Here is a 15127-nt window from a genome sequence, read left to right on the forward strand (position 1 = left end):
GTGTGTGTATGTGTGTTTATATGTGTGTATATATAAAAATATATTTATATTTTTACAGTTATATATTATATATATTTATATATATATTTTATATATTTTTATATATTTAAATATATATATTTATATATATATAAAAACAGAAAGTTATGTTGAGGGAATGAATAAAACAATTAAACCATCTTAAACCACCTTAAACCATCATGGCTTGGCACAACAGAAATTTATATCTATAGCTTGTGCTTACAAGCTGTATATACTACTGGGCAAATGACAAAACCAACAATAGCTAAGCTTTGTTCTGAGTACTTCACATATATCAACTCATTTAACATTCACACTGTGAGGTAGTATAAATATTTCCATTTTATAGAAGTGAAAACTAAGGTGGAAAGAAATTAAGTCACTTGACCAAGCTCATATAGGTAGTAAGTATCAAAGCAAGTAGGCATTTGAATACAGACCACCTAACTCTGAAGCCCATACTCTTAATCTTTGTGTTTCGCTGTTGTACTCTCTGTAAACATTTATCTTTGTCTCTCTGATCTAGACCAAAGACTCCTTTTTACAGACAAGGAAATTAAGAAGCTTATAGGCAGAATAACTTCCATGAAGTTGCAGAATCAGTTAACAATAAAAGTCCTGTTCCTATTCATGAGTCCTGACTCCAGCAAAGACCCCCAGTGGGATTTTTGGTTTACTATCATTGTAATACAAATGACAAAGAGGTTAAATACATATTAATAAGATTCCACTCGTTTTTATCTAAAGGTGATTTCAAATGCCTGCTGGTTGTTCTCCTTGGTTGCACATGGGAGGGTCTCGCTGAGCGCTTTTAAAAAACATGACGCTCTGGCCCTACCTGAGGCCAATTAAATCAGAGTCTTTGCAGGGTGGGCCATGATTTTCTTTCAAGCATTCCAGGTGATTTTAATGTGCAGCCAGAATTGAGAAATGCTGGATTACACTGCTGGGGTATGCAGATTGAATGCAATGGCTGGTAATTAGACACTTATGTTATCTTCTTTTGGATATTGTATAGGTTCATATAAAGACATCTGCTTTCATGTTCAATGTCAACTGCACCCCTATAACCCAGTGCAATAATTGCTTGTTACTGATGTGTGTCCATGAATAATGGAAGAATCTCGCTTAGCTCTCATTCGCAATTAACTCCTGTGACTGAAGGCACTTGGGCTCCTCCTACATGAAATAAACAGACTTAATCGGTTGAATGGTACAGGCTTTTTTGGTTAATGTCTATGTTTATTACTCTCGCCCCTTGTTGCCATCTAATCTGACATTCCTTCTGCTGCTTACATGTGATTGACCTGTGTAGCAACACTGCAGAAAGTGTCATTTGCTCTGCTCCTCACAACAACAATTGTGTGATTGGTCATCGTCAGTTCAATAGGGAGAAAAAAAATTAGGAAATTTGGCACACACAAATTCAGCCAGACTCATAATTTCAAGTTCCAGGTCAAATAATAGGCTTATAGAAGTAAAATAATGAGAATTATCCAAGCAATATTTTGGCAGCAAAGCAATATTAATTTGAATAAACATTTATAGAGCACATTTGTTCTCTTCTGTAATATTTATCACACTTTATCATGGTTATCCTGTTAAGGTCTGCCTTTCCTGTGAGAATTTAGGCTTTGAAAGTACAAGAGCATTGTCTGTCTTTTTCATGATCATATCCCCAAGATCTAGCATATTGCAGGGACTAAATAAACATTTTCTTAACTTATAAATAATGAAATGAATAAAAATTTGAGCTACGTACTGAGGACAGAGAGAAAAATAAGACACTATTTCTGCTATTGAAGAGCCTATAAGAAAAGATACACAAACACATTAAAAAATTACAATTCAGTATGATATGGGCTATTATCAAGTTAGGTATAAAGAAGGAAAGAATTCTTGTATGTTAACAATCTATAGATCAAATCCGCCTCCAGAGTAGGAACAGCCAGAAAAGTTAAAATTCTATGAATGTACTTTGTTTTCTATATTTAAATTTGGGACAGTGTAAATAATTTACATAATTCTGAAACAAAATTTTTAAAACCTGATCTCTAAAATTCAAAAGGATAATGAACAAATGAACCTGTGTGTCAAATTGATAGCATAGCAACACAGAGTAATGACTGATAATTATTATTATTATTATTATTATTTGAGACGGAGTTTTGCTCTTGTTGCCCAGGACTGATAATTATTTAAAAACTCGGCAATTTAAATGTACATTTTTAGTTGTATATACTGGGGATGGTCTTCTATTGTCTTACCTACTTACTCTGTGTGGTTTTTTATTGTGAATTGGTTCCCAATTTTCTTACGCTTTCCTGTATCCATGCCCTTAGATAGTCAACTCCCATCCTGACTCTGGGCTTGGTATGTGACTTGCTGCATTAGTTTCCTAGGACTGTTGTAAGAGGGTACCACAAACTGAGTGGTTTAAACACCAGAAATTTATTATTGCACTATTCTGGAGCCTAGAATTTTGAGATCAAGATGTCAGCAGGGCCGTGCTCTCTCTAAAGGGGCTTAGGGAAGAATCTCTTCCAGGCCTGGCTCACAGCTTCAGGTAGTTCCTTGATTCATGGCAGCATTACTATAATTTTAACATAGTATTCTCTCTGTATGCACATATGTCTTCAAATTTCCCCTTTCCATTAGGATGCTAATCATATTGGATTAAGGGCCTACCCTATTCCAGTATGACCTCATCTTAATTAATTATATCTTCAATGACCTTACTTCCAAATAAAGTCACATTCTGAAGTACTCAGGCATTAGAACTTCAGCATATGAATTTTGGTGAGGGGGCATAATTCAACCCACAAAACTTGCTTTAACCAATGAGATAATAGCAACTGTGGTGAAGCAGAGGATTTAGAAGTGCATGGACTTTGGTGTTTGTGTTCTCTTGCTGCCTTTAGAAATCTGCCACCACCACCATGTGAACAAGCTTGGACTAGTCTGCTGGATAATAAGAGACACATGGCCTATTGCTTCCATGACAAATTGACAGTCAGCCAACTTCCATAAGCAGAGAAACTTAGCTGGTTGGCAGCTGACCTTAGCGAGAGAGTCTAATATAAACTAGCTAAGTCCAATTCAAATTGTAGTGTGAGTTAAATACACCTATTTTTTAAGCCATGAAGTTTTGGGGTGTTTTATTATACAGCAATAGATAGCTTATTGTGTGTTAGGAAGAGCAGTGGAGAGGGCCTAGTTTCCAATTCTAAATTTTTTCTAAATAGCTTTGGTATGAATAACTGGCTGGTAGCAACATAAAAACTTGGTATGGTAAATTCAGTGACCACTTAGATTTGTCTTCTTCCTTTTCACTATTTCCAAGGGAGCTTCCAGGAACAAACAAAGGGATTTAAAAATAAAAATCAAAAAGTTTCTCAACATATTGCCTGGCTCTATTACTTAGAAAGGAGGAAAATAAAAACCACTTTTCTAAAAGTTACTCATTTATGCCTATATCCTTTAAAGCCATCATATGAGAAATTATCAATTGTCTATTTATTCCTTAATCAGCAAATCCTTAATTCAGTAACTTACCATCTATATATTATCATCCATATTTTGGATATGCTAGTTACATTTTAGATATCAATGTCTTTTTACTATAAATATTTTATTACATAGATTCATAATCCCAGAGCCGAAAGAACTCTAAATGTCACTTGTTCTAATCTCTTACCAGTGTAGGAATACCGTCTGTATCATTCCCAGCAAGCAATCTTTCCTCCTATGCCTGCACACATCTTATGAAGAAAGGCTCATTGCCTACCTTATAAAGAAGTCCATTTGATTTTAGATTAGTGTTTCTTGTTAGAAAGTACTTTCTTCACTTGACCTGAAATCTGCCTCCACATTGCACAGCCTCACTGCCTGACCTCTTAAGATTCTATTCTCCCACCTATTTTGCTACCAATTTAAGAACTGGTATATGTTTCCTTTTCATACGACAGACCTTCAAATATTGAATGGCAGCAATCACACTCCTCTTTGGTCTTTCCCTAACTGCAATGATAAATATTCTAACATATACAGACATAATAATTTAGGATATACCTGCTCTAAGAAGAAAAGTTACAATAAATACAGAAATTTTACCAGTATTCTTAGTAATTTTCCAGATCAAACTGAGAGACCATAAAAAAGAATGGCTTGGGAAAAACAGAACTAACTACAGAAAGAAATATAATGAATTAATGTGAAATAATACTGCTCTTATTGTGCCTTTTGGGGGCAAATATTACTAAGGGGCTCAGGGGAAGTGATAATTAAATTCCACTGAAAGTCTTTAGCAAGCATTGTGCCTTAAAAATTATCAGCAAATCTAGAAAGGTTTTTGTTGCCCCCAATTCCAAGCCCAAACAAAACTTCAATTAGTTCTCAAAGGTGAACCTATTTGAAAAGCTGTTGGAGATGGTTGGTGACATGACTTTTGTTCCACGAGGGCTTTTGTTGGCCAGTCTGCACCATGTTCCTCCAACTATATCTCTCTAGAGTGCAGATTGGTAGAAGATACTGATTGCATCTTCAAATGAAGAGTATATTAATCATTGTTTTCCTTGGTCTCTCACTTGACTTAAATTTCTTCTGAGGAGTGCTTCTGTCTTGGAAATTGCTGAAAAATGTGGCCACTTTTTCAGAGAATCAACAAAGTTTAGTTAATGGTGTTCTTATCTCCAGAATCCAAGTAAACGTTGGAAGAATGTGAATTTAAAAAATAAGACCGGCCTGGCGTGGTGGTTCACATCTGTAATCCCAGCACTTTGGGAGGCCGAGGCAGGTGGATCACAAGGTCAAGAGATCAAGACCATCCTGGCCAACATGGTGAAACCCAGTCTCTACTAAAAATACAAAAATTAGCTGGGTGTGGTGGTGCATGCCTGTAGTTGCAGCTACTTGGGATGCTGAGGTGGGAGAATTGCTTGAACCTATGAGGCGGAGGTTGCAGTGAGCTGAGATAGCACCACTGCACTCCAGCCTGGCGACAGAGTGAGACGCTGTAAAACAAACAAACAAACAAAAAAAACACACAAAAGTAGTAAGGTCACAGTGCTTCAAACAAGCAAATGTGTTCAAATCCTGGCTCCCCTAGTTACTAGTAACATAATTTTGAACAAGTTATTTAATTGTTTTAAGTTTGTTTTTTCTTAAAAAATATCTTGATAAAATGTTATTTTAAATAAAATTTATAATAAGATGTTGATAATACCACACAGTCTCTTGTGAGATGTGAATCAAAGAATGTTTCATTCTTTGAGCATGCACACCCAATACTTATTATCAGTCATTAAGTTATGAGACAAAAATTCTCAATATTGAAAGTACAGAACTCCTCATTAGGCCATCAGAAAAGTAGTTATTCTTAACTGATAAATAAAGTTGCATCAGAGGCATGTATTATATAGCTCAAAAATGGAAAGAAGGGAAGAAAACTTGTTAAAGCTTAAGGTACAAATCTTTCCCAAAGAGTTCTTATCATTTGTCACATGATCAGAATTTGATTCCTCATTCTCCTCCTAACAGCTGTGGGCTTAAATAAACCTAGCTCTCAATCTCTTTATCTATAGAATGAAAGACTTCATCTGGATACTGTGAAATAGTTCTTTTAACATTCTATGCAAATTAAAGCTTGTTCCCCCAGATTATCTTTTATTATTCCCAAATAAGTGTCCTGGCATATATACCGTCATTGTTTTGAGGATGTAAACTTTGTCTCACACAGCACTTTTATTATGTTATATATTATGTCTCTCTCCCACTGCATACAGTATCAGCATCAAGGCTAAAAAAAATCCAAGTGTTTTGTAAGCCAGTGAAGATTCAAATTGATTATGCTGAGGAAGAAGACTTAACCATATATTAAATTCTTCATCCTTCAGACTCCTACATGTTACTCAATATATAACTAAAGTGGCACATCTTTATTGAAGATTTCCTCTATCCCTCACCCTCACCACTATAGGAGCCTCTATAGAAGAATAGGTTGCTCAGCTTTCTGTGTGTCTGTAAATGTTTCAACTTTAGCAAAATATAGTTTGTTACTGAGTTATTTATTTATGTGTCTGTTTCTTTTTCTAGATTTTGAGATATTTAAAACAAAATGCATGTAACCTGGGACTCAAGATATGTATTAAGTGAAACGAGCAAATAACAATAAGGACAATGATGATGATAGGGTTAATTTTTCTTGAACATTTCTACATATTAGGAATTTTCTCTAAGCTCTCTATATGTATTAGTTTACTTTATGGACACAATGAGCCTATGAGATAGACACTATTATTGTCACCATTTTATATATGAGAAAACAGAGGCACAGAGTTGTTATTAAACAGCTTGCTAGGCACTAAGACTCAGTCAGGGATGGAAATCAGACACTTTGTTCTCAGTGAACAGTTGATTAAACACATTTTATGTTCTCTCCCCTGAATAAGGAAATGAAGAATTATGAAAGAATGAGTTGGGAAGGCTGGGCATGGTGGCTCACGCCTATAATCCCAACACTTTGGAAGGCTGAGGGGGGCGCAGATCACATGAAGCCAGGAGGTCAAGAACAGCCCAACCAGCAGGGAGAAACCCCGTCTCTACTAAAAATACAAAAATTAGTCAGGCATAGTGGTACACGCCTATAATCCCAGCTACTCTTTGGGAAACTGGGGCTCGAGAATGACTTGAATCCAGGAGGCAGAGGTTGCAGTGAGTCCAGATCGTGCCACTGCACTCCAGCCTGGGTGAACGAGTGAGACTTTGTCTCAAAATAAATAAATAAATAAATAACTTGGGCCAAAACACCCATGCAGCACACACATACACACTTAATTATTACCACACTGATCCTATCCGATCCTATCTTAGCACTGAAATCTCCAACTCTATGGGGTCATTATTTGCCTCAATTAGTAACCCTAATGGCCCCTAAAATTTGCACATCACAAACCCTGTGATATGGTTTAGACCTGTGTCACCACCAAATTTCATGTCAAATTGTAATCCCCCATATTGTAGGTGGGCCTGTGTGTTAGTTCATTTTCACGCTGCTGATAGAGAAATACCTGAAACTGGGAACAAAAAGAAGTTTAATTGGACCTACAGTTCCACATGACTGGAGAGGCCTCAGAATCATGGCAGGAGGTGAAATGCACTTCTTACATGGTGGCAGCAAGAGAAGAATGAAGAAGATTTAAAAGTGGAAACTCCTGATAAAACCATCAGATGTTGTGAGACTTATTCGTTACCACAAGAACAATATGGGGGAAACTGCCCTCATGATTCAAATTATCTCCCATCATGTCCCTCCCACAACAGGTGGGAATTATGGGAACATAATTCAAGATGAGATTTGGATGGGGACACAGAGCCAAACCATATCAGCCTGGTGGGAAGTGATTTGATCATGGGGACAGATTTCTCATGAATGGTTTGGTACCATCCTCTCTTGGTACTAACCTCATGATAGTGAGTGAGTCTCACAAGATCTGGTTGTTTAAAAGTTTGTGGTGCCTCCCCCCTTACTCTCCTGCTCCTGCTCCAGTCATGTGAGATGGTTTGCTCCTCTTTCATCTTCCACCATGATTGCAAGTTTCATGAGGCCTCCTCAGAAGCTAAGCAGAGGCCAGCATCATGCTTCCTGCATAGACTTGGAACTGTGAACTGATTAAACCTCTTTTTTTATTTATTTTTTATTTTTTTTATTATACTTTAAGTTCTAGGGTACATGTGCACTTGCAGGTTTGTTACATATGTATACATGTGCCATGTTGGTGTGCTGCACCCATTAACTCGTCATTTACATTAGGTATATCTTCTAATGCTATCCCTCCCTGCTCCTCCCACCCCACACCAGGCCCTGGTGTGTGAAGTTCCCCTTCCTGTGTCCAGGTGTTCTCATTGTTCAATTCCCACCTATGAGTGAGAACATGAGGTGTTTGGTCAGGGATCTAGAACTAGAAATACCATTTGACCCAGCAATCCCATTGCTGAGTATATACCCAAAGGAATATAAATCATGCTGCTGTGAAGACATGCACTCGTATGTTTATTATGGCACTATTCACAATAGCAAAGACTTGGAACCAATCCAAATGTTCAACAATGATAGACTGGATTAAGAAAATGTGGCACATATACACCATGGAATACTATGCAGCCATAAAAAAGATGAGTTCATGTCCTTTGTAGGGACATGGATGAAGCTGGAAACCATCATTCTCAGCAAACTATCGCAAGTGCAAAAAACCTCTTTTCTTTGTAAATGACACAGTCTCAGGTATTTCTTTACAGCAAAGTAAGAACAGACTAATATACCATGGAACCTGAGAATATGTTATTTTGCATGACAAAAGGGTTATTTAAGATACTGAGGTGGAAAGATTATTCTCCACTAGCCAGGTAGGTCCAATTGATTCACAGGGTCCTTTTAAGTAAAAGTAGGCAGGAGAGTCAGAGAGAGATTTGAAGATGCTACAGAGCTGCCTCTGAACATGAAGCCAGGTAATATGAACCAAGGAACCAAGTAGTCTCTAAAGCTGGGAAAAGAAAGAAAATGAATTTTTTTTTCTAGAGCTTCAAAGGAAAGCAGCCATTTTTGACACCTTGATTTAAGACTAGTGAAACCCAGTTCAGACGTCTGTCTTCCAGAACTGTGAGAGAATACATTTATTTTGTTTTAGGTCAGTAAGCCTACAGTTTGTGGAAATTTGTTCAAACAGCAATTGAAAAATAATATGCCAGATATAGCAGCCTCTGATAGCATGTGTAGGGTCAGCCTCAAAGCAGTTTGGTTTGATATGGTAACAGATAATTGGGAAAGTAGAAAGTGAAGTCTTGCTATAAGGGAATAGAAAATAGAGACACATTGTGATGGATGAACGGGAAAATAAATAGTCTTGGGTTTCTTTCTGGAGTCAATGGCTGTCTATATTTGTGTTTCTAAGTCTCTGAGTCTGTATGTTGTTTTGGGGGAGTCATTTGGAAGGTGTGACACTACTTCAGAGGCAAACATTGCTGAAAATTAATGGGAGATAGCTGAGAACACACATAACATGGTTGGGACTAAGGAACTGACTCAAGTGGGTTAGGTAGTGAGCAGTTCTAATATGCAGGGCCTAAAAGGAAGTGATGACCTCTGATAAAATTCACTTAGGTGGTATTGAGCAGGCTGACTAAGTATATACAGCACTCTGACAGAAGTCTCAGCTCTGGTAATACCTTAAGATATGATAAGATAAACCTTCTGTTGGAGCGATTCTCATTGCGTGAAGGAAACATAAATAAATTACCTTCATAATGGATGTATGTATGTGCATGTTTTATGTGTGTGTATATGTATGTGCATATTTTTATGGATGTCCAGTCAGTGACAAAGAAAAAAAATTATCCAATAGCTGGTGATAGAGAAGTTGGTTAACATTTATAGGAAAGTTAATCAATTTCGGTTTCTATACCTTATTACAAAATATAAATTTTGAATGGATTAAAGCATTAAATACATGAAAATAATGCACATGATCTTTTCAACAACTATTGAGCTTCTGAATATGGGCACTAGCAAAGACTTCCTAAGCTTTAAAGCCACAGAATAGGTGACAAAAGAAAAGACTAACATTTATGTACATGGAGGTTAAAGCTTTTCCCAGAAAAAAATAAACAAAAAGAAGACAATAAGTTAGGAATAAAAAATACATGAAGTATGACAGTCCATTTCCACTGTAGAGAAGACTCACAAAAGGAATAGAGTTGAAAGTCTCTAATAGATACATATACAAAGGACCTGAACAATTCATAAAAGAGGAAATAAAAGTACATTACAAATAAATGAAAAAATACTCCATCTCATAGTAATCAAAGAAATTTAAATTAAATGAGATAATATTTTTGCCTATCAAATTAACAAGTATTTAACAAACCCTGTAATACCCATAATAGCTTTCCTAAACTGCTAATATGGTGTAAAATGAAACCATGCTTGTTAATATAGAGTCTAAATTTGAAATTTTTTCTAAATAAATAGTTGTGCTATAAATGACTGTAGAAAATTCTCTATCAGAATATTATTTATAATATCAAAACATTTAGAAACAACCTGAATGTTCACAAATATAGGGAATGTTTTAAACATTTTGGTAATCAATAAAATATCCAACCATTTAAAAAATTAATTTACAAAGTGTGTTATCAATTAATTACAAAATAAAGCATTCAGAGTTGTATCCCCGTTGTGATTTTAAAATATTATATAGTGATTTTAAAACCGGAAAGCTACATCAAAATATTAACATGGACAGATTTCCATAAATTCTTGCCTGTGTTTTCTTTTTCTTTGTGGTCTCATGTTTATTTAGTAGGCATGCACTGTTTGTATAATAAAAATAAATACAAATTAAATATGTGTTCAGTTCTATTTAAAAAGAGGAACTTCTTGTAAGCTTGGATATGTAATGGAAAAAAGATTTGATTTCATTAAGAAAAGACAGGCTAAAAAAATGCAGAGAATCACAGCTTACATTTAATGGAAACATAAACAATACAAATAAGTTTCAAGCAAATATTTACTGAGAAGTAGAATCTTATTGTTATTTTGTTGTTTTTTAGGATTTGAATGGTATTTTCTTAAAAGGTCTGGTTTCTTTTACACACACCAGCAGAATTCTGTTAAGCCTCTCTCTCTCTCGTTTTGTTTTTGCTTATTCCAATGATGTGCAAAACATCCAGAAGGGAATAAGCAGCTTCTTGATTGCCTGTCTTGAAAATTCAAAACTATAAATTGATAATGAATGCCACATTACTGAATAGAACCTGAATGCTTGATTAAGTCTCTATAAGACTCCCAACAAACTGGAAATTGTACAGAGGCATAGTATTTACACGCACCTTGATTTTCATTTACCTGTGGCATTTTATGTATTATATCAATTTCATCTGAAGTTATTGTCTTTGCTAAAATAATTGCAGATGATTTTTACAAAGAGTTAGTAGATCTAGAAAGCTGTAGAATGAGAGCTATTTCAGCAACTACCTGTTGTCTGATTCTGAAGTGATTGCATTATTCAGAACAAAACCATTTCCATTTATATTTTGTACAGATGCTGCCTATGGTTGAACTTGCTTCTCATGGCTTTTCTTGTTTTTTTGTTTTTTGTTCCTTTTTTGAGATTGAGCCTTGCTCTGTCACCCAGGCTGGAGTGCAGTGGCATAATCTCTGCTCACTGCAGTCTCTGCCTCCCCGGTTCCAGAGGTTCTCCTGTCTCAGCCTCCTGGGCAGCTGGGATTACAGGCACACACCATCATGCCCAGCTAATTTTTGTAATTTAGTAGAGATGGAGTTTCACCATGCTGGCCAGGCTGGTCTCGAACTCCTGACCTCAGGTGATGTGCCTGCCTTGGCCTCCCAAAGTGCTGGGATTACAGGCGTGAGCCACCACGCCTGGCAAGGCCTTTCCAAATATGAGGCATATACATAGTTTGCAGTTGTTCTTCTTGGGCTTCAGGCAGGGCCAGAAATAGGGCACTATTTTGGGAAAGGTTAGCCTCATTGGCGAAGCGCCTGAGAGCTTTTTCATGCTAGAGTTGGTGCTAACAACCTAGTCAAATCCACTTGCTCACTTTTATGTCTCCATTTGCTCATCTGTGAATTGCAACAGGTGTCATTAATTTTACAAAACAGCTCTATCTAAGGGCCATAAACCACCCACTCTACCCCCTGCATAATCGTCCATCCCACTGAGCTCATCATGTTTCTGAAAGCAACAGTCCTTTATAATACATCCTTTGCTCATGAACAATCACTTGGCAGAATGGGCTATTATAATGGGCACAACATATTCAATGAGATTGTCACCATCTGTTCTACCTTCCAATTACCAAAGCAAATGGAAATAAAAAGGCAATGCCATTGGAAACCCGAGATAATATTTTCCATTTATTATGTCTTTTGGTTGACATGGGTTTTAAAAATTCCCTTTGGAACACGTAGGAAGAAGCACACTTTCTATCTGTGAGACACAATCAGAAGATTGGGACCCAGCACTGAGAGAAAATTTATCTGTGAGACACAATCAGAAGATTGGGATCCAGCACTGAGAGAAAATTACTCTCTGGAAGATGCACATGAGCACATTCAGCATCCTCATCTCTACTATGTAGTGGAGATTTCTGCTCAGCCTTGAAAAATTCACATCATCTTAGGCATGAAGTGATTAAGCAGAAACTCCCTGAGCTATTATTGCATGGGGAACAGTTAATGAAGTTGTACAAACAGGTATTGTGCATCAATATTTCCATGTTTCTGTCCAATAGGCAATGGGTTTGCATGAAGACTTGAAGCAAAAAGTGAATATTCACTTTGAAGTTGTGTGCCTGTGTGTGTGTGCACACACACATGCAGAGGAAACTGAGGTGAGAGATCATGGAATGTGAAGGTAATTCTAATCATGAAAGAGAATTAAGGCATTGAAGTCAGCATGGGTTTAAAATACTCAAATTGAAGAAACAGTGCTGTAACAGCACACAGTCGTTCTGTGAATTAACAGGAAATAACTAAAAACAAATGACCATACTAGAGGTTCTAATGCATAAGCAGACATCATAAAAGGAACTAGGTACCAGGGTATCCAAATGAATGGGACACAAAACATTATTTTATATTGGTCAGACTTGTATCATTTGCTACGAGTGTTAATAACCCACTTTTCTATGTGATAAATAACTGGAATTTTGGGTAGGAACACATAAAGTTGGCTTAAGTTTCTTGTCTGAGGCTCTGTCCCATAAACAGTGATTCTAAGTACACATGATTCTAAATAGAATATGATTCTAAGTATATATGATTCTAAATAGAATGTCTCCACTTTCAGGAAATGCTTTTGTGTTCCTGCCAAAGTCACATGCCAAGGAAACCTTTTAGTTATCTATGTAATCTGCATACTTGACTATTATATTTGAGATACTATGGCTTAGGATAGACAAAACCAGAAAATTTTAGGCCTATGTTTAGTGTTAATTTGTTTTGTTGATCACTTTTCTGTCATTATACATAGAGATTATGCATTTTCTTCCTGGTCAGCCTGTCCATAAAGAATTGGCATTAACCGAGTTGTCGACACCCACATGACTTAGCCAGGTGTGTGACATGTTTAGCAGTGTAACAATAGGACTGCTTCCAGCTTCGGAGTGCTTGCTAGCTTTAATCTGCTTATGAAATGAATACATACCTATCTGTCTTGCCATTTTTTTCATATCTCTGTGGAGGAACCAAGTGTGTGTATGTTTTTGGTAAGGTTATGGTTAAAATTTGAGGGCCAAAACATAGGCTCTTAGTCATTACTAGATGATCCTATTACCAGATTGTGTATAACTGAAACTGTTTCCCTCAGCATAGCTAGTAGGATGGAGCCCTGTTGCCAAGTATTAAAAATACTAAATGCTAGCCATCCTGACCCCTTTTATTGCTAATAGTAATGACTTATTTTAATTTTTTTCTGCCTGAATGTCATTAGTAGGCATGAATTTGGTACTTGCACTCATTAATTTATACAATTATTTAGTAACATGCATTTAAAAATAGCCTTGAGGTATAATTGAGTTATGATAAACTGTACATATTTAAAACATAAAATTTTCTAATTTTGACTTATTTATATTTCTGTGAAACTGTTACCACAATCAGGATAGAAAATAGTCATCACTCCCAACATTTTCTTGTTCTTTTTAGTAATCCCTCCCTCTTGCTCCTCCTGCTTCCTTAGCAAACAACCATTGATCTACTTTGTGCTACTATAGATTAGCTTGTATTTTCCAGAGTTATGTATGAATGGAATCATATAGTGTGCACTTATCTGACTATCTTTATTCAGCATAATTATTTTGAGATCCATCCATGCATGTGTCAATAGCTTGGGCATTCTTATTTCTGAGTAGTGTATTGTATGGACATAGCACAATTCGTTCATCCATTCCCCTGTTGATGAATATTTGGATGGTTTCCAGGTTGGACTATTATGAAGAATGCTGCTATGAACATTCATGTGTAAGTAGGATGTCCATTTTAATTTTATATACTTTATAATTTGTATCAGGAATGCAGACTAAATCAGCATTTTTCTGACATCTAGAATGAACATACAAGTCTTTGTCTTTCCTATAATTATTAAAATCTTGTTAGAGATGACAAGAAAGCAGAAACTTATCTCATTTATTTGCTAACTTTTCCTTAAAGTTTTTTTTTTTACACAAAAACAAATACAGTGTTGTTTAACCAATAAACCCAAAACTTATTAGAGGAGCCACTAAGCTTAGTTTCTGATTCAATCCTGTAAAATAACATACAGAAGGACACAGCTTGAACAGAATGTTTTTAGTAAATGACCCCACTTCTTCAATTTTGAGATTTATGTTTTACCATATTTCAGCCTTTCGAAGAGGTGGATGAATCTTTCAGTTGATATACAAATTTAATGTACAGTTTTTATATTTTCCTTCTTAAATGCCCATCAAATGATAAATGAATAAACAAAATGGTATATCTACACAATGGCGATAATGTTTGAATGTGCACCCTCTCCAAATCTCATGTTGAAATATGACCCTTAGTGTTGGAGGTGTGGCCTAGTGGGAGATGTTGGTCCATGGGGCTGGATCCCTCATGAATGGCTTAGCACCATCCTCTTGGTGATGAGTATGTTCTGCAAGAGTTGGTTGTTTAAAGGGAGTCTGGGACCTCTTCCTCTGCCTCTTGCTCCCTCTCTTGCCATGTGGTATGTCAGCTCTCATTTTGCTTTCCAACATGAGTGTAAGTTTCTGAAGGCCTCAGAAGCAGATGCTGACACCATGCTGCTTGTACAGCCTACAGGACTGTGAGGCAAATAAATGTCTTTTCTTTATAAATCACCCAGTCTCAGGTTTTTTTATAGCAACGAAATCTTACTAATACAAATGGAATATTCTTCATCAATAAAAAAGAATGAAATGCCAATACATGGTACAACATGGATAATCCTTGAAAACACTATACTAAGTGAAAGAAGCTAGCCACAGAAGCCATGTTTTTTACGATTTCATTTATATGAAATATCCAGGGTTGGCAAATCAATAGAAA

The sequence above is a fragment of the Homo sapiens genome, chromosome 11, assembly GCF_000001405.40.
Source record: "Homo sapiens chromosome 11, GRCh38.p14 Primary Assembly".
Lineage (NCBI taxonomy): Eukaryota > Metazoa > Chordata > Mammalia > Primates > Hominidae > Homo > Homo sapiens.